Source organism: Homo sapiens, chromosome 4, assembly GCF_000001405.40.
Source record: "Homo sapiens chromosome 4, GRCh38.p14 Primary Assembly".
Classification (NCBI taxonomy): domain Eukaryota; kingdom Metazoa; phylum Chordata; class Mammalia; order Primates; family Hominidae; genus Homo; species Homo sapiens.
The window spans coordinates 16,383,988-16,403,398 of record NC_000004.12 but is presented as its reverse complement, the minus strand read 5'-3'; the positions used below and the strand labels follow the sequence as shown (position 1 = coordinate 16,403,398).

The 19,411-nt window shown below is 44.7% G+C and overlaps 1 long non-coding RNA gene across 2 annotated transcripts in view, besides 1 other annotated feature; it reads right to left on the bottom strand.

The window, feature by feature from the left end:
- Positions 1-19,411, bottom strand: part of LOC105374505 (uncharacterized) — a 190,382-nt gene that overhangs the window by 147,848 nt on the left and 23,123 nt on the right. The gene's annotated exons all lie outside the window — the stretch shown is intronic.
- Positions 10,214-10,932: an enhancer, noted in NCBI's record as "NANOG-H3K27ac hESC enhancer chr4:16394090-16394808 (GRCh37/hg19 assembly coordinates)". NCBI's record gives its function as "activates a minimal SCP1, AML or CMV promoter by ChIP-STARR-seq in primed H9 embryonic stem cells {active_cell/tissue: H9 hESC(primed)}" and the evidence as "EXISTENCE:reporter gene assay evidence [ECO:0000049][PMID:30033119]".

Sequence of the window (19,411 nt, the reverse complement as noted above, 5' to 3'; positions counted from 1 at the left end):
ATCTAATTAAACTAAAGAGCTTCTGCACAGCAAAAGAAACTACCATCAGCATTAACACGCAAGCTACAGAATGGGAGAAAATTTTCGCAACCTACTCATCTGACAAAGGGCTAATATCCAGAATCTACAATGAACTCAAACAAATTTACAAGAAAAAAACAAACAACCCCATCAATAAGTGGGCAAAGGATATGAACAGACACTTCTCAAAAGAAGACATTTATGCAGCCAAAAAACACATGAAAAAATGCTCATCATCACTGGCCATCAGAGAAATGCACATCAATACCACAATGAGATACCATCTCACATCAGTTAGAATGGCAATCATTAAAAAGTCAGGAAACCACCAGGTGCTGGAGAGGATGTGGACAAATAGGAACACTTTTACACTGTTGGTGGGACTGTAAACTAGTTCAACCATTGTGGAAGTCAGTGTGGCCATTACTCAGGGATCTAGAACTAGAAATACCATTTGACCCAGCCATCCCATTACTGGGTATATACCCAAAGGATTATAAATCATGCTGCTATAAAGACACATGCACACGTATGTTTATTGGGGCACTATTCACAATAGCAAAGACTTGGAACCAACCCAAATGTCCAGCAATGATAGACTGGATTAAGCAAATGTGGCACATATACACCATGGAATACTATGCAGCCATAAAAAATGAAGAGTTCATGTCCTTTGTAGGGACATGGATGAAATTGGAAACCATCATTCTCAGCAAACTATCGCAAGGAGAAAAAACCAAACACCGCATGTTCTCACTCACAGGTGGGAATTGAACAATGAGAACACATGGACGCAGGAAGGGGAACATCACACTCCAGGGACTGTTGTGGGGTGTGGGGAGGGGGGAGGGGGGAGGGATAGCATTAGGAGATATACCTAATGCTAAATGACGAGTTAATGGGTGCAGCACACCAACATGGCACAGGTATAGACATGTAACAAACCTGCACATTGTGCACATTACCCTAAAACTTAAAGTATAATAATAATAAAATAAAAAAATAAAATAAAATAAAAAAATTAAAAAAAAGAAATAAGTCGCTTGTCCTCTCTGGGCTTTGGCCCCCTCATCTGTAAAACCAGAGAGAACATTAACAATAAATAAGACCAAGACATTGGCTCACAATGTAGTAACCCTGTTTACCTCCTTGACATGCTCGCAACAGACCAGGGCAGCAAGGTGCTCAGATGCAGAGATCCAGGCTTTCCAGGAAGAGTGAGGCAGGAACAGGGACAGGCCTACTTGCACTTCAGGCCTGATGGGAGGGGGCTTCCCTGCACATGCTCCCTCCTGTTCCCCTAGCTTTTCATTCTGAGGTGGGGAGAAAGGCACTGGGCAGAGAGTGCTGCTGTCCAAAATAAATATAATGTGAACCACGTGTGAACTTTAAATTTTCTAGTAAGCACTTGAAAGAGTAAAATGAAATAGGTGAAATTAATTTTCATAATATATTTATTCAACCCAATAGTTTAAAAATATTATTTCAACATGTTTGTGATATAAAAACTATTATTGAAATATTTTACGTTTCCTTTGTACCAAGTCCCCAGAATATGGTGTAAATCTCACACTTGCAGCATGTTGCAATTTGAACTAGATACATGTCAGCTGCTCCAGGAATAGTCGCATGGCACTCATGGTCACCCTATCGGACAGCGCGTTTAGTGGGAAAGAGAATGGAGGCATTTGTCCTCTGAGGGCAAAGGAGAAGGACTGACCTGTTACCAGGGGGCTGGATCCCATGCTGCAAGGCGAGGGCAAAGGCTTTAGGCTGCAGCAGGGATGGAGGCTGCAGTCTACTCTCAGACATCACTCCAGGACCACAGGACCTTGGAGAGGTTGTGTGGGGGCGACTACGGAGAGCCTGGACACTAAATTCAGTGACTTCAGGGGGCCAAGGGAGGGGCCTTGGGACACAGTGCTGATCCAAGTGAGGGAAAGATGTGTTGTGAGGCATGTCTCTGGTGTCACTGGAAGCAGAGATGCCAGAAAGGACATTGAAGGAACAGGACCTGACCTCTGCATTTGTAGCAGAGTGGTGTGATCAGTGGGGACAGATGCCTCGCAGCCTCCTCTCTCCCTATATTATTATAGTGTGTGGAAGCCCCGGGATTGCAAAGCAGGCCAGTCATGTGGCTGTCATTGGGCTTCTCAGGGACCTTGGTGAGCAGAGACCCGGAGCCAGGGTTTACGTGATTTAGACAAATCTAGAAATGTGACACCTTCTCCCCCTCAAAACTTAGAGTAATTTATACCTGTTGTATCGGTCCTAAAGTCCTTTGTCACATACATATTTTTTTAATCCATAAAACAAGAAGCTTGATGTTGAAACAGATCCAGGGATAAGATGCACAGAGGCTCACTGCTCTCTGATACCCACTTCTGTTCATGCCCTGCCTTGCCTCAGGAAACCTTTGCCTCAGATTTGTCTAGGTACTAAAAATATCAGGCTGGGTGTGGTGGCTCACGCCTATAATTCCAACACTTTGGGAGGCCGAGGCGAGTGGATTGTCTGAGGTCAGGAGTTCAAGACCAGCCTAACCAATATGGTGAAACCCCCGTCTCTGCTAAAAATACAAAAATTAGCCAGGTGTGGTGGTGGGTGCCTGTGATCCCAGCTACTCGGGAGGCTGAGGCAGCAGAATTGATTGAACCTGGGAGGCGAAGGTTGCAGTGAGCTGAGATTGTGCCATTGCACTCCAGCCTGGGAAACAGAGCGAGCATCCATCTCAAATTTCCTAGAGGGACTCACAGAACTCAGAGAAATAGCTTACACGTTTACCTATTTATTGTAAAGTATATTACAAATGATACAGATGATGCCAGGTGTGGTGGCTCATACCTGTAATCCCAACACTTTGGAAGGCTGAGGTAGGAGGATCAGGAGGAGGATTTCTTGAGGCCAGAAGTTCAAGACCAGCCTAGGCAACATAGCAAGAACCTCATCTGTACAAAAAAGAGAAAAAAAAACTTTTCCAGGCATGGTGGTGCATGCTTGTAGTTCCAGCTACTCAGGAGGCTGAGGTGGGAGGATCACTTGATCCTAGGAGTTCAAGGCCGCAGTGAGTTATGATCGTACCACTGCACTCTAGCCTGGACAACACAGGGAGACCGTCTCCCTCCATCTCTCTCTCTCTCTCACTTTCTCTTTCTCACACACACACACACAATACAGATGAACAACCGGATGAAGAGATAGGGCAAAGCACGTGGGAAGGAGCACGGAACGTCTACATGTTCGGCAACCAGGAAGCTCTCTGAACCTGGGCCTTTGGGGTTTTCATGGAGGCCTCATTACATTGGCATGATCGATTAAAGGTGATCAACTGAACCTTCAAACCCCCTCCCTTCCCTGGAGGTTTGGGAAAGGGATGGGGCTGAAAGTCCCATCACTCTAATCATGCCCGGGTCTTTCGTGTGACCAGCCCGCATCCTGAAGCTACCTAGAGACCCCCAGCCATCAGTCATCTCATCAGCATACAAAAGACCCTCATCATTCTAGAGATTCCAAGGGTTTTATGAGCTTTGTGCCAGGAACCAGGGACAGAAACCAAATATATATTTCTTATGACATCACAATATGACAGAACTGAGCCCTTTGTATTCCTGTGCTCTTCAGTCATTGGGTAAGGGTCATCCCAGTGAATCCACTAAGAGGGACTCAGAGGGATCGGGACAGAGCACCTACATCCTCCCTACACTTGGCTAAGACGCACAGTTCTGAGCAGTGGAGCTGGGACTTGACCCCAGCCAGCATAGCTCCAGGAGTCATTATCTTAATCACTATTAAGTTTATCTCTAAATAATCAAGGGAGATTTAAAAAGTAACCCCATGTGACAAATCTGTACCAGGGGCTATCCTGCTTCAGTGGCCAACACACTAACACCTGCTTACCTCATTACCCTGGGCCCATTAAAAAAAAAAAGTTGAATTAATTGAATCTCATAGAACTAAAGAGCTATAAGGGGGAAAAATAATCTCCTGATTTATTTATGCAGATTATACATTTCTGCATCTGCTTGCGTAGAGCCAGCAAACATAAGCATTTATTCAAACAGGCCCACATTTTAGAGTTGTTACAATACCTGCAACTTACAAGACGAGCATAATTATCCTATTTTTTACAAAGTCTAATGTGATTTCAATTGATGTCAGTAAGTTTTGATTGAATTTGCTGCTGATTAGAGTTTATCATCTCTTTGAACAACAAGAAATTATGTCTTATTCAGTTTGTTAGCAAGACTGGCATTCAGTTTATAGCCATAGCACCAATGGTAATTATCAAGGATAATTGATTTCTAAAGTGGACATATTAATTACATAGATATAGGAAAAATAAAATAGCTTACCCTGTCAATTAGTATTATGAAAAATAAACCATAGACTTTGAACAAGAAAGTTTAGTTTCCTCTGCCAACATACCTTCCTTTTTTCCAGGGAAACTGTACATCCCATTAACATGGTTATGGCACAGACATGGCACAGAGACAGGCTCTAATGGGCTAGCTTGGAAGAGCAGATTGCAAGGGAATTTTAAGTGTGACCTATAGCAGAGTAAGGGGAGGAAGAAAATATATGTGGAAAGAGAAAATTAAGGTTTCTGTCTCCTCTGAAAACCAAAAAGAATGTGTCATGTGGGGGTGGCACATATGAGAACCCAGGCAATCATGCATTCATTCAACAAATATTGATTGAGCACCTGCTATATGTTGAACAGTGAGGTTAAAGTACTGACACTGACTGTCCTCATGAGCTTACAACTTAGAGGGGAAGTCAGGCATTCCCCACAAAAATACCTACATAACCATAAATCTTAAGTAGCATGAAAGCAAAGGACAGGCTGCTATGAGAAAGACTAATTGGGGGACCCAATTTAGAAGGAGAGATCAAGGAAAGCCTCTCTGAGAAGGTAACACTTAACCTGAAACCGGATGAGTTACAGAGGCGAAGAGGGAAGAAGGGAGAAATGTGTAATGGTGGGAAAAAGTTTTGTGTGCTGGAGAAAATGAAAGATGGTGAAACTTCTGGAATTATAGTGATGCTCTATATCTGTGCTGTCTAATATGGGTGCATCTATTCAGCACCTAAAATGAGGCCAATGAAAATAACAAACTAAACTTTTAATTGTAACTGCATTTAATTTAAATAGTGACTTGTGTTCAGAGGCCACCATATTAAAGAATGCAGATCAGGGGTCTTATAACCCCTGATAAGGACTGCAAATTGTATTCTAAGAGCTGTGGGAACCACTGGAGATTTTGTAAGCTCAGGGGTGCCACAGTTCCATATATGTTTTTAAAGACACACAGGCTTCTGATCCAAAAGACTCTCTCATAAGACTGCTCACTCTTTTGGAAAATAGAAATAGGATTTGTCAGATTTTTCTATCAACCAAAGACATCATGTTTTAATGTGTGCTTGCTGACCAAACTTGTTCTTCTAATTCTGTTGGTAGTGTTTATAAGGCATGAATAACTCTTCTGGATAATGCTAGGTGATCCTAATTATAGATTTCCCAAGTCAAACACAAACTAAACATAACAAGATATTTTTCATGGTGTCCTTAATCTTGACCCTTCAGGCCAGGGACAGGTGGCAACAAGGCCTTTCAGAGTACACACTGATGCATCATTCTGGAGAATGAGGAACTGCACTGAAGCCAAGGCTTGCATTTTTGAGCCCATGAATGCAATGACATGAAGAATCAAGAGGGCATTTGGCCCCCCATGCAGGCACAGGCCCCACATGCCAACCTTGACCTTGGTCAGAAGGATTGGCAATGCCCTTTCAGAGTGGTTTAGATGACCCAGGATTGGGTCTTTCTGTATTTAAATATGGCCAGCATCAGGGGAATCCAGTAGCAAGCAGCTGAGTCTAATAGACAGGGCCACTCATCTGGGCCACAATTTCAACATTATCATTAGGAGAAATAGGCAAGGTCAAGCAGCAACCTAAGGCCCACGCTTCTTTTGGTGAAACACTCTTTCCGGGTCTGACCCAGTTAATAGCTAATTGGTAAGCTACAACTTATACAGCACTTACTATGTCTCAGGCACTGTTCTAAACAATGGGAATAATAACGATATGGACATTGTGACATTGTGAGAGCTAATGAACATTATCCATTCATACATATTTTTTATATATATATATATATATATATATATATATATATATATATATATATATATACACACACACATACACAACAATGTCCATATAATATTATTATTTTCACTTGCAGATAAGCGACCTTGGTCACAAAGAGTTAAATAACTTGTCCAAGATCACACAGCTAAGAGATTCCAAGGTCTGGGCACACTTGCTGCAAATGAGAGGTGCATGAACTTAGCATATTAAACACTGGTGTGTCACTGGTCTGAGAGAAGATCTCTAACCCAAGCTGGCCCAATAATTGGACCTGAGCTCATGGCCACTAATTGGTCCAAATTGTGTGGGTGTCACCCAAGTTTGTGCCAATCACAATATTTCCTGTGAGCGTTTGCCTCTGGAGACCAAGTTCAGAAGAAGCAAAGCAAAGAGCTGCAACATCATCTGTAGAAACTGGGAGAGATCAGCGCTCCAAAAACAGAGAAAAGCCAAGAGTGACAGCGAGTAAATCTTGGTGGAGTTCAGGTCTCTCAGTCTAGTTTTCGAGGTGCTGGATTTGCCTTTCCTTCCCAAAGCCTGGATTCTGGCTTTTAGTGGACGCTGAGAGCAACTCCATAATCTTCAGCTGGTTCCAGTTGGGTTCATGCATCTTGTCACCAAAAGTTGCACATACAGGAAAGTGACTGACTAGAAGAGGTCAGTGCAGATTCCCACCATCATCCTGCAGACCTGCGTAATGTGGCAGAGTGCCAGAAGTCATATTTAGTCTAAATGTTGTTGTTCCCTGAAGGACTTTCAATACGGTGATTAAAATTTCCAGGGATCATTCACCCAATGGTTTCAGAACATTTGGATAGTATCTGAACTCAGTGAATCTCTGCCTGCAGCATTTAGTTTGATCTATGGCCATCAACAGCACCCACCAGGAGGTGGAGGCCACGGCTTCATATGCTGTCCACTACTTGCCGATCAGTCTACATTTTTCAATGACTTATTGTCCTTCAAACCTTTGTCCACTAGATACTTACTTAATTTTAGTGATTGACAAGGACATTTCTACAGTTAGAAGCACATGCATCATCTGGAATAACAAAGGGTAGGGTTAGCCATGAGGTAGGGATAAAGTGCTGCGAAATATACATGGATTTTCTTCATTTGGCCAAAATGTGGCTTTTCTCTTAAGGTTGTCTTCCTTCTAACTAACTTATATTTTAATATCCTTATAACTTAGTCATTCAACAGGTTTTTCTTGAATGCCTGCTATATGTTAGACACTGTGCCAAGTATTGGGAGTACAGAGATGAAAAAGGCAGTATTACTGTCCTCAAGGAGATTCATCTAATGGTGGACTCAAACATAGCAAAGACCGTTGACAGCTTACTCAGCATCTGTAGCCCCTTCCTCCTTCTTAACAGACCCCTGCTCTTGTTCAGTTATCTGCCTTCTGCCACTTATGGGTCCAAGGACAAGGTGACCCCATTCCTGGCTTGAAGATTGTGCATGACAGTTCTAAGGGGAACCCCTTAGCCTTGCCAGGGATTAGTGCAGGAACCCAGGCCTGAGAGGGTCAGCACCCAGCCTTCCCAATTAAAAGACTGACTCAGAAGCAGCCACATGACCTCTAAGAGTTCAATGAGATAAAGAGGGAAAGTCTGCTGTCTCTTTCTCTGGCCACTGGATGTAGTAAAATCATTACAGCCAACTTGGAGATGAAGCCAGCACCTAGAGGATGGCAGGGCAAGAGAATCACAGAGAAACTCAGCAGAAGCACCCAGATTAGGTCAGCCCTGCAGCCCAATCAACCTGTGCAATCCCAGCAACAAGAGTCTAGATTTTTTGCCCATTATTTAAACCCCTTTGAGCTGGTCTGTTCCAATTGATAGAGACAACTGAATAGAAACTGAGAATGCAATGAAAAGTAGTGCAGAAGGCATTAGCGGATTGCTGAGGTTAAAGGATAACCACTGGCAGTCCCAGTGAGGGACGGGGTGTAATGGGCAGCTCAGGGCATGCTTTAAGCAGAAGAGACACCCAAGTGGAGCCTACAGGGATTATTAGGAGCTAACCAGATGAGGGAAGGAAGACAGTTCAGATAGAAGGAACAGCCAGACAGAAGAAGCACAGGAAGGAAAAACAGATCGAGGCTCAGCTTTTCTGAGTCACGAACTATAAGGTAGATAGTGGAAGGTGAGGCTAGAGCCAGACCATGAAAAATCTGGATACCATGAAGTGGAATTTCACATTGCCTGGTGACACCTTCCGTGACCACTCAGAGAAGCTCCCACTCCTCCAACAGCAAACTCTATCCCCTAACCTTGATATTTTTTTTTCTTCACAGCATTCATTACTGTCTGACATTATATTACTTATTTGTTTGTTTCCTGGTTTCTTATCTGTTTCTCTCACTGGAATGTAGCTCCATTAGAAAAGGGAATTTTGCCTTGCTTTCTGTTACATCCCTACCCAGAAGAACACTACCTGGCACATCACACGCAAAGAATAAATTCTTATTAAGTGGCTGAGTGAATAAATTCCTGCCCCTATCACCAGAACAATCTAATTTATGAGGGTCTTATCAGGAAAAACCTAAAACCTGAGTCTGAAATTGTGACCATCATTTCTTATTCTATGTTCAGTTTTCCCATTTTGCAATCTCTGCTCTTCTCATATCATCCTATGATAGCTCCCATGCAATCATCCTGGAAAAACCTGGGATGCCTCTATATCATATATGTCATCTGTAATATCCAGCAATGCCAAGCATCCAAAATGACCCAAAGAGACTATAATTACTTTAAGGTCAAATGGAATTCAGGATGTTAGTGTGATAGAGGTGTGACACAGAGGGACAGAGACAAGAGGAATGCAGGTCTAGGTGGGTGAAGAACAGACTTTAAGATGCATGTCTCTCCCTCTCCCTCTCCCTCTCCCCATGGTCTCCCTCTCCCCACAGTCTCCCTCTCCCTCTCTTTCCACGGTCTCCCTCTGATGCCGAGCCGAAGCTGGACTGTACTGCTGCCATCTCGGCTCACTGCAACCTCCCTGCCTGATTCTCCTGCCTCAGCCTGCCGAGTGCCTGCGATTGCAGGCGCGCGCCACCACGCCTGACTGGTTTTCGTATTTTTTTGGTGGAGATGGGGTTTCGTTGTGTTGGCCGGGCCGGTCTCCAGCTCCTAACCGCGAGTGATCCGCCAGCCTTGGCCTCCGGAGGTGCCGGGATTGCAGATGGTGTCTGGTTCACTCAGTGCTCAATGGTGCCCAGGCTGGAGTGCAGTGGTGTGATCTCGGCTCGCTACAACCTCCACCTCCCAGCCGCCTGCCTTGGCCTCCCAAAGTGCCTAGAGTGCAGCCTCTGCCCGGCCGCCACCCCATCTAGGAAGTGAGGAGCGTCTCTGCCTGGCCGCCCATCGTCTGGGATGTGAGGAGCCCCTCTGCCTGGCTGCCCAGTCTGGAAAGTGAGGAGCGTCTCTGCCCAGCCGCCATCCCATCTAGGAAGTGAGGAGCGCCTCTTCCCGGCCGCCATCCCATCTAGGAAGTGAGGAGCGTCTCTGCCCGGCCGCCCATCGTCTGAGATGTGGGGAGCGCCTTTGCCCCGCCGCCCCGTCCGGGATGTGAGGAGCGCCTCTGCCCGGCCACGACCCCGTCTGGGAGGTGAGGAGCGCCTCTGCCCAGCCGCCCCATCTGAGAAGGGAGGAGACCCTCCGCCTGGCAACCTCCCCGTCTGAGAAGTGAGGAGCCCCTCCGCCCGGCAGCCGCCCCATCCGGGAGGGAGGTGGGGGGGTCAGCCCCCCGCCCGGCCAGCCGCCCCGTCCGGGAGGGAGGTGGGGGGGGTCAGCCCCCGCCACCGGCCAGCCGCCCCGACCGGGAGGGAGGTGGGGGGGTCAGCCCACCAGCCGCCTCGTCCGGGAGGTGAGGGGCGCCTCTGCCCGGCCGCCCCTACTGGGAAGTGAGGAGCCCCTCTGCCCGGCCAGCCGCCCCGTCCGGGAGGGAGGTGGGGGGGTCAGCCCCCCGCCCGGCCAGCCGCCCCGTCCAGGAGGGAGGTGGGGGGGGTCAGCCCCCCGCCTGGCCAGCCGCCCCATCCGGGAGGGAGGTGGGGGGGTCAGCCCCCCGCTCGGCCAGCCGCCCCGTCCGGGAGGTGAGGGGCGCCTCTGCCCGGCCGCCCCTACTGGGAAGTAAGGAGCCCCTCTGCCCGGCCACCACCCCGTCTGGGAGGTGTGCCCAACAGCTCATTGAGAACGGGCCATGATGACAATGGTGGTTTTGTGGAATAGAAAGGGGGGAAAGGTAGGGAAAAGATTGAGAAATCGGATGGTTGCCGTGTCTGTGTGGAAAGAAGTAGACATGGGAGACTTTTCATTTTGTTCTGTACTAAGAAAAATTCTTCTGCCTTGGGATCCTGTTGATCTGTGACCTTACCCCCCAACCCTGTGCTCTCTGAAACATGTGCTGTGTCCACTCAGGGTTAAATGGATTAAGGGCGGTGCAAGATGTGCTTTGTTAAACAGATGCTTGAAGGCAGCATGCTCGTTAAGAGTCATCACCACTCCCTAATCTCAAGTACCCAGGGACACAAACACTGCGGAAGGCCTCAGGGTCCTCTGCCTAGGAAAACCAGAGACCTTTGTTCACTTGTTTATCTGCTGACCGTCCCTCCACTATTGTCCTATGACCCTGCCAAATCCCCCTCTGTGAGAAACACCCAAGAATGATCAATAAAAATAAAAAAAAAAGATGCATGTCCAATGTAGGTTAGTCTTATGAAGTTTAAGAATTCCAATATCATCGCCAGCTGTTAGAGGTGAAGGAAACCTACTCCAGAGATCATCTAGCTGCCTTGCTACTCTAAGTAGCAGCATTGCATCACCTGAGAGCTCATTCACAATCCCACCTGTCAACAAGGGAGAATTCATGTGCACGTCTTAAAGCCCTGCTTTACCCCATTCACCCAGCAGTAACATCCTAGGTCTTCTGCTTGGACTATCCAGCTTCATCTTGCTCACAGTCTTCATAAAATGTAATTCTGTTTCCCATATTTAAAAAACAAGGAATGTCACAAAGAAATCTGATCCCTAACTTTGTTTTGAAAAATCTGAAATCTGGCAATCCCAAGTGTGTGCATTCCACAGGTCACCAACTGACAGGAGGTGAGCAGTGGCTCCCCTTGGGGAGGTAAGCTCCAGTTTCTGCAGTCACCCTTGATACCTGTCTAGATAGGCATTTTCTTTCCAACCTGTCATCTGGTCTAACAGAACTCATCTTACAGAAAAAGAAAACAGGCTTAGAAGGGTTAAGCATCTCGGCTAAAGAATCACAGCTAGTACAATGCTCATTCACTTCTACTATCCTGCCTAAGTAATAGGTAAGTGACTTCATTGTTACCTTGAAGATGAGAGAACTGAAGTGTTTTTAAAGAACTCACTGGCTCCTTTAAAATCAATAAAAAAATAAACAACAAAAATACCCTGATTTCCCAACACTGAAAAGGAAGGGAGAATCTCCCCATGGGGTAGGAAGGCTGAAGATTCCCTGCAGGGCTGCACCACATGCGAAGACTCATCTTGAGAGATGGTCCTTCCCTTGATGATTCACTCAAGATCATTTCACCATTCCTTATGGGAAAGGAAGTCTCGGGAAGCAGACAAAACGCCTCTGCAAATGGAGTTTATGCCTTCACTGACAACAAGGGAAGATTCTAGTGGGATACCATGAATTGACCATAATGCAATCAGTGACTGACTCAGTGTATTAGGCTGATCAGACTTCCATTACCAAATACCATGGAGTGTGTGGCTTAAACAACATAAATCCATTTTCCCACAGTTCAGGAAGCCAGAAGTACCACATCAAAGTGTCAGCAGGGTCACTATCTGGTGAGGGCTCTCTCCTCGGGTTTTAGATGGCCACCTGCTCTCTGTGTCCTCACGTGGCCTGGCCCTCTGTGTGTGCGCATGAAGATCACTCTCTCTTCCTCTTCTTATAAAGTCACCAGTCCTATAGGATTAGGACTTTACCTTATGGCTTCATTTATCCTTTACTACCTCCTAAAAGCCCTATCTCCAAATACAATCACACTCACTGCTAGGGCTTCAACATAAGAATTTTTGAAAGACACAGTTCAGTCCATAACACCCAGACTCATATAAGTACCAGAGATAAAAGTCAAGGGTAGAATTCCAAATTCCAAATCCAGACTAGGCTGCCACACCATATAATTATTGGCTATTTTTATATTTCTGGATTTATCAAGTTCCCCACTCCCCTATTTCTCACTCTCAAAATTAGTGATAAAAATAAATAATTAATTGTTACAAAAATAAATAATTCCAACAAATAAAATCCATTCTAATAGTATAGTGCTTCATAGTTATCTCATTTGAAATCGTAATATACATGATTTCCCTCTCATTTCACAGATTAGAAAATAACCTGTCCAAGGTCACAGAGAAAATAGGTGCTCAAAACTGATACTCAAACCCATATTCTTTAACTGTTTGAAGGCACTTATTTCTGTAACCAAAGGGATATCCAAAGAGAAGAACATGGTGTCATTTAGGTAACCTGGTGAGAATCATTGAGAAGACAACATAATATATTTAAAGAAAGTATAGAACAATAGTTAAGAACTTACACTGAGAATGGAAAGACAGATGCTCAAGCCCCAATTCTGCCAATAATCAGCTGTATGAATTTATTGTGCTGTGTGGATGTGACTCAACCTTCCCAGGCTTCCATTTCTTCATCTATTAAATAGGGTTAATAACAACACTTGTCTCATTCTGAGAGTCAAACAACATAATGTGTGTAAAAATGCTTAGCCCAGTGCCTAACACATGGAGTAAATATTCAATAAACGAGAAGCAATTCTGATACATCAGCCTGGAAAGAAAGATATCTAACTGCAGCACCTAGAAAGATCTGAGAGGTCTGTAAGCCAAAAAAATTAGGTATAGAGGAAAAATGAAAAAAGAAATCTTATTCCTCTAATCTAGCAACAAGAGACTCCAGGGAAAGCAGAAATTGTGATGTATAAACAGCTTTGAGATTACAATATAAATTAATCAAGGGAATTACTCTTCCTTCCAGAGGATTAAGACTAAGGTGCAATGGCCTGAAGCTACAGAAGGGGGAATTTGGGTTAGATACAGCAAGACAAGAAAGTTCTCGGCAGGGAAAGTAATTAGGAAATGAAACAGACTCCCTGGGGTTGGGATGGAGGAATTTTCCCTGGCAGTAATCAAGGAGAAATGAGGGGAAGAGGACGAGGCAGGCAAGGATTGCAAAATACCCATCAATTAGAAGAAATGGTTAGCTGGTTACCTTTTTTAAAGGATCCATCAAGCATGTAATTGACAGTCATCTATAACCAAGAACTAGCAATTGTTGGTGGTCAGTGAGGGCTTAGGAGGGATGCAGGATATGGATGCTGACCTCAGGAAGCTTACAGTCCAGTAGAAAAGGCAGATTTTCCCAGACAAAAAGGCTTAAAATGTATAGAGGGTGGATTAGTACCATTTAACCTTGCCAGCTACTTTCCCCCTTAATACCACTCAATTATTTCATTGGTTTTTGTTTTGACAGATTCCACTGAGACAGAACAAAATGTCTGAGTTAGGTTTCAAAATAGATATGATTAATTTTATGTAGACGTTCAAAATTTATTTTTTCCTGTGGGCTAAATGAGACGTTAGAGTGGAACATTATCTTGGTGGGGGCAGAGTGATGAGATAATACAGTGACTCTTTGGCACACAAGAGAAAAAACAGAAAACGTTATAAGAGAAAAACTAAGATTGATACCTGATTGTTTGGTGAAGACATTTGTCTGAGAGGAAAATCATGGTAGCCTGGAGGAGTCAAAGATATCCACTTGGAAAGAGGTGAGATTCAAGTTAGACACTGGCCTGAATCATGATGGATTTAAGAGAGTAGATAGATAGCACTGGCTATCTATCACCACAATATTGCTCTGTAGCAACCACCCGCCCCAAACTCAGCAGCTTAAAACAATAGACATGTATTAATTCTCACAGTTCTGTAGGAAGCCTGGGTGGCTCTGCTGATCTGGACCAGGCTTGGCTAAGTTTTCCTGGGCTTGCTCCTGTGTTGGTAGCCAGCTAGCGTGGAGGCTGGTCTGGCTGGTCAAGGATGGCCGTGGCGGGATGGCTCCTTTCTGCTTCCCACCATCTTCATCTCCTGTAGGCTTGTTTGGGCCAGTTCTTGTGTCCATGTCAGGATTTTCGGAGAGCATGTGAGAAGCAAGGCTTCATGAGGCCAGTGCTCAGAACTCAGCATTCCCCTGACCATCCCCATATCCTCTTGTTGAAGGAGGAGGAATTCCGGTCAAATTTATCCCTGCCTCTTTTTTGGCTCAGTACAGATAATGAGGGAAGGGGGATAATTTTGATTAATATAATGAAGAACTAAACTCAAAGAGAAATGGGGAAAGGGGGAAAAAAGTGAGAGGCTGTTGTGCTCCCATTTAGAGAGAGTTTTATGGGGAATTTAGAGGAAAGCAGAGGCTGGGGGTGGCACATGGCAGTAAAATTTATGTACAAAAGATGAAAAAAGCAGATTCAAAACTTCTGCTGTGAGTGAGACTGAGATTAAACTGCTTTACACTTTTTATTAGTTTGGGACTGCCATTGCTCTGAGTGCAACTCTGTGCAGCCTGCCCTTGGTTTGGTGGGTGGACAGGACCATGGCGCCCACTGGGAGCAGAACACCATCAGGCTCATGCTCCAGTCTAATAAACATCTCACATCTACCTTTGCTCAGGGCTGACCATTTGGCACCTAACCAAAGGGATAAATCAATCCTAACTCTGAATGAAGGCTGGAAATGAAATTGTCTCCAGAAAGAGATGGCCTATTCATCTGACCACTCATAAATTTTGCCTTCATTTGAAATTGGAAGAAATCTTACAGATCCTTCTTCCTGATTAAGAATGTCATAAATCCCAGGGATCGGAGGGATACACAAACTTTCTCTGGCTTCTGAAGTCTAATACCTTCTGAAGCAGAATAGTATCTATGGCACTCAGAGAAGTTCCCTAATATTTTGTTCTGTGACCTCAGAAACTGACTGCAGAAAATCACAATTTGCTAACTCAGAAACATTTTCCAATTATTTCTGAAAACACGCCTTTAACTTGAGACTCTACTTTCTGTATGTTCATTATCAGTGTGAAGGGATATTCAGAGAGACTCAAAGCACTATACATTGGCTGTCTAGCGTTAAAGAAAAAAATTTTCAATGATACTTGTGAAACATGGTGAGGAAGACTTTATTCAAGACCATCACAAATAGGCACAGCAACTATGGCAATGGGATTTTGCAGTACAGAGAGGTTGCACTCAACTCCAAATACAGCATGGGCAAGTGGGAATCTATAGCCAAGGAGCCCTGGGGAGAAGTGGGAGGGGAGCCAGTGGATGAAAAATTACTAAGAGGACACATCAGGGGAAAGAAGGATTCTGGCTCAATTTTGACCTAAGAGGATTCTTGCTGAAGATGGTACAGGGTGATCAGACATCACAGAGGACACAGTAGAGGGTGAGGAATCTGATCAGATATCAAGGCTGATCAGGTATCGAGGATGGGGAATTCTTGCCAAAGTGACTCAGCAGTTATTTGCTAAAAATGGATTTTACTAGAAAGTGCATAGATGAGCCTAGGAGAAGGTTCAGGAGCCTGACTAAAGTTTGGCCAAGAAACACATCTTTGTCACTAGTTTCATAAGGAAAATGCTATTTCAGGAGTCTGTTACCCATATCAATGACTGAAGAACAAGTTAATGATTTAATGAATTAGCAGTTGTTCTCATCGTAGCACTTACCCCCTGAAGATTTCTAAGCATAGTGGAAAAAGGATAGACTGAGGACATGCTGTTGCCTGAAGATAATGCCCTTTTTGCATGGCAGCCAGCAGCAAACAGAAAGCAGAGCCATGTGGGATCAAAGTCCAAGACTTGGAAAGCTGCTCTGGTCCCTTGAAATCTCAAAAGCTGAGGGCTGCCCTTATAAGATCACATCAAACTTCTTAAAATCCTTCAAGGGTTTCCTGAGTCTTTAGGGAAAAGTTCCACTCTTAGGGGCCAACAAGGATGCTTATGCTCAGGTCCCTGTCCACCCCCACCCCAGCATCACCTCCATCCAGCTGCCCCATCCACCACCCCTCACATACATGGGATATCTCAGACTAGTCAGTAAGGTCTAGTGAAAAACAGTCCAGAAGCCACTCCTGGTACATGTACACTGCAAAACTTCCCCAGCTGATGTGTCTTTGTACATTTCATTCTACTGCTTGGAAGGCTCCCTCTGCAGCTCCAGATGTTGAAGAAAATCCTCTCAACTCACAACTCCTCCCCTTGGAAGACTTCCTTGACCACTCTAGGCAGCCATAAGCTTCCTCCACTACAATCCCCTGGAGCCATGCACACTCTTTTGTCCATAGCACTTACTTCACTGCCCTAAAACTGTGTGTTTGCTGTCTTGTCTGTCAAGCAGAAAGGAATTTTCTAAATATCCACCAGGGATCACTAATATAAAGACAATCAGCACAGGGCAAATTGGTCCAAGTATTTACATTAGCTCCTCTTGGTCATACGAGAGGTTACCAAGTACATGTAATAGACCAGAGATCCTCAGCAGATAATCTGTATCTCTTCAGAGCTGAGGCCAGGTTGATTCACTCATTTATTCATCTATACATATTTGTTGAGTGGTAGTTACCTGCCACCATATCAATTATCTGTTGCTCTATGCCAAATGACTTCAAAACTTAGAGGCTTGAAGCATCCATAACCTTTGTTTGGTCACCATTCTGCAATTTTGGCAAATCTTAGTGGGAACAGTTTGTGTCTGCTCCACGTGGTGTTGGTGGGACAGACCAACCCGAATTAGGGGACACAAGATCACGTCACATCTACATGTGCCTAGTGGCCCGGCTCCAGTGACCAGAAAGGCCTCTGTGTGGCTGTGGATCTCTTCCGTCATGCTCTCTCGCCCTCCAGGCTCTGTCTCCCTAGGCGGTCTCTACAGCAGGATAGCCTGGGCAGGGTATCTCCCTTTTTCCAGAGGAAAAAGGCAGAAATTGCAAGGCCTCTTGAGACTTAAGCTCTAAAATATGCACCCTGTCACTTCTGCCACATTCTATTGGTCAAAACAAGTCACAAAGCCAGCCCATATTCAAGGAGTGAAGAAATAAGATGCCGTACCATCTCCTGAAGGGAGGTGCCAAGGGGTGGGGTGTAGGGACCATCCTGAAAGGCCTAAGACATCCAGGCAGGGTTTAGGGTACTGGAAATACCCAGTATCTATTGCTATGATCGCTTTTTATTGGTGAATGAGACACAGTTTCTGTCCTCCAGACAGGAAATGGATTAGTAGATAATTACTAAACATTAAATTAGGTGCCACCGGCATCCACAGGTTGGGTAACATTTTCAGCCTTGGGAGTCAAGACAATGATTGCAAAGAATACTATAAATCTCTCTGCTAAAGAAGGTGTGATGATGATGGGGAAAAAAGAATATTTACATTGTCTTCCCAAAATACTTGCAGACTCCTCAGGAGCCTTAAGGCATATCCTCTCCATTCAGACTTCTCTCTCCATAGGTTGGTCCTCTTCTTGTCTCCCAGAAGATTTGCATTCACATTTCCATTCTCAGGCATCAGGCAAACATTTTTTTAAAATGCCATCATAAACACCCCAGAGAAATTGTTGCTGCTGCTTGTGTCCAGCTGCTGTGAGGTTTGGTCATCTTTGGCCCCCTTTGGAATTTCAGATGTTCACCTGCGCATCCCACTACCTCCCCACTGCACTCTGATTGAATTAATAGATTGTATATTTTAACCGCAAGAACTTTATTTCCCAAGAACTAGCAGCTTCTAAACTTCTGAGAATCTGACCAGAGCGACACATCTTTTCTCTGGAAAAGCACATACTTGGATTTCACTTACCCTATCAGAGGATCCACAGACCACTAAATCCCAAGTAAGAATCCACTGTCCTGATTTTGCTATTTTGTCTCTGCATCTCGACTGCTTGGAACAGTGCCTGACACATGAATGAATGAATCAGTGACTCAATGAACGAATCGATTAACTGATTGATATTTGAGAACACCAATATCACTTTCAGTTGTCTCTGGTTTAAGCAGAATCAGAGCCACCTCTCCCTCAAATCTACACTGTCATCTCAATGGTTAATCAAGAACAAGGAGGGGAGGATTCCAGAAGTATTCAAAGTCAAATCCTTCCAGTTGGCAGTGAGTCTGAGCATTTAGAAGAGGCTTCTCTAAGGTAACTCACCAATCCTTGTCTCAGCCCGGATCACCGCCTAAGCCTGTGTCAAGGATGGGAGCTTAGCTGTTGGTCACATTATCCCACCTCCTCTGCCTCCACTTTTTCCTTCTGACAGAGGATTTCTTTTGAGTTTCGTGTAAAGAGAAAATATAAGGGCTGCCAGAAGGAAGACACAGCTGTCAGCCACTTCCAAACTCTTTCCGGATTTAGAGAAAGAAGGGGGAGGCTCTGGGCCCTTTTGTAAATAAGTGAACCGAAGCCTCAAATGCAACAGGCTGGATTGCCCCAGTGTGGCCAGGCCTGATAATTCAATTTAATGATATCTTTTCTCTTCTCTTCCCCTCATCCCCCCGTTCCCCAAGGAGCAGAGAAGGCTTTGTAGACTTGATTTCATTAGTCTTCAGGAAATCCTGGGGCAAGATGCTGCATCCTCGTGTGCCTGCAGAAACTGTCTGTGGGGAGAAGAGGCTTGCGGAGGTCACAGGATGCTTGTGCTCCAAATGCAGACAGCTGCGCTCTACCTCTGATTCTGCAGAGGGACTCCGGGACAAAAGTGGCAAATAAGTGAGTGCCTTGGTAGAGGGAGCCCTAATCCACTTAAGTTCTACATCAGTTACCCCAGACACAAGGATCCCCAAATAACCTATCATCTAACAAAAACCTGTATCTGACCTATACTGAATAAAACCTATACAATACCCTATATCTAATGAAAGCCTATAGTAACAATAATCTATAATCTATAGTATAATATGAATTACGTGTAATATAACCTATAATAAGAATAAGCTGTATCTAATAAAAGCCTAAATAATTTATATCTAATAAAACTTTGGCAATTAATTAGAGTTTAAGATCAGGCCCCTGGCCCCTTTACAACCAGATAAATGGCCCTAATCTCCTTCTGTGAAGACACCCTGGAGCTACCACTGCCAAAGGCAAGGAGAGGCTGAAGAAAAGGGGAGCCAAGGA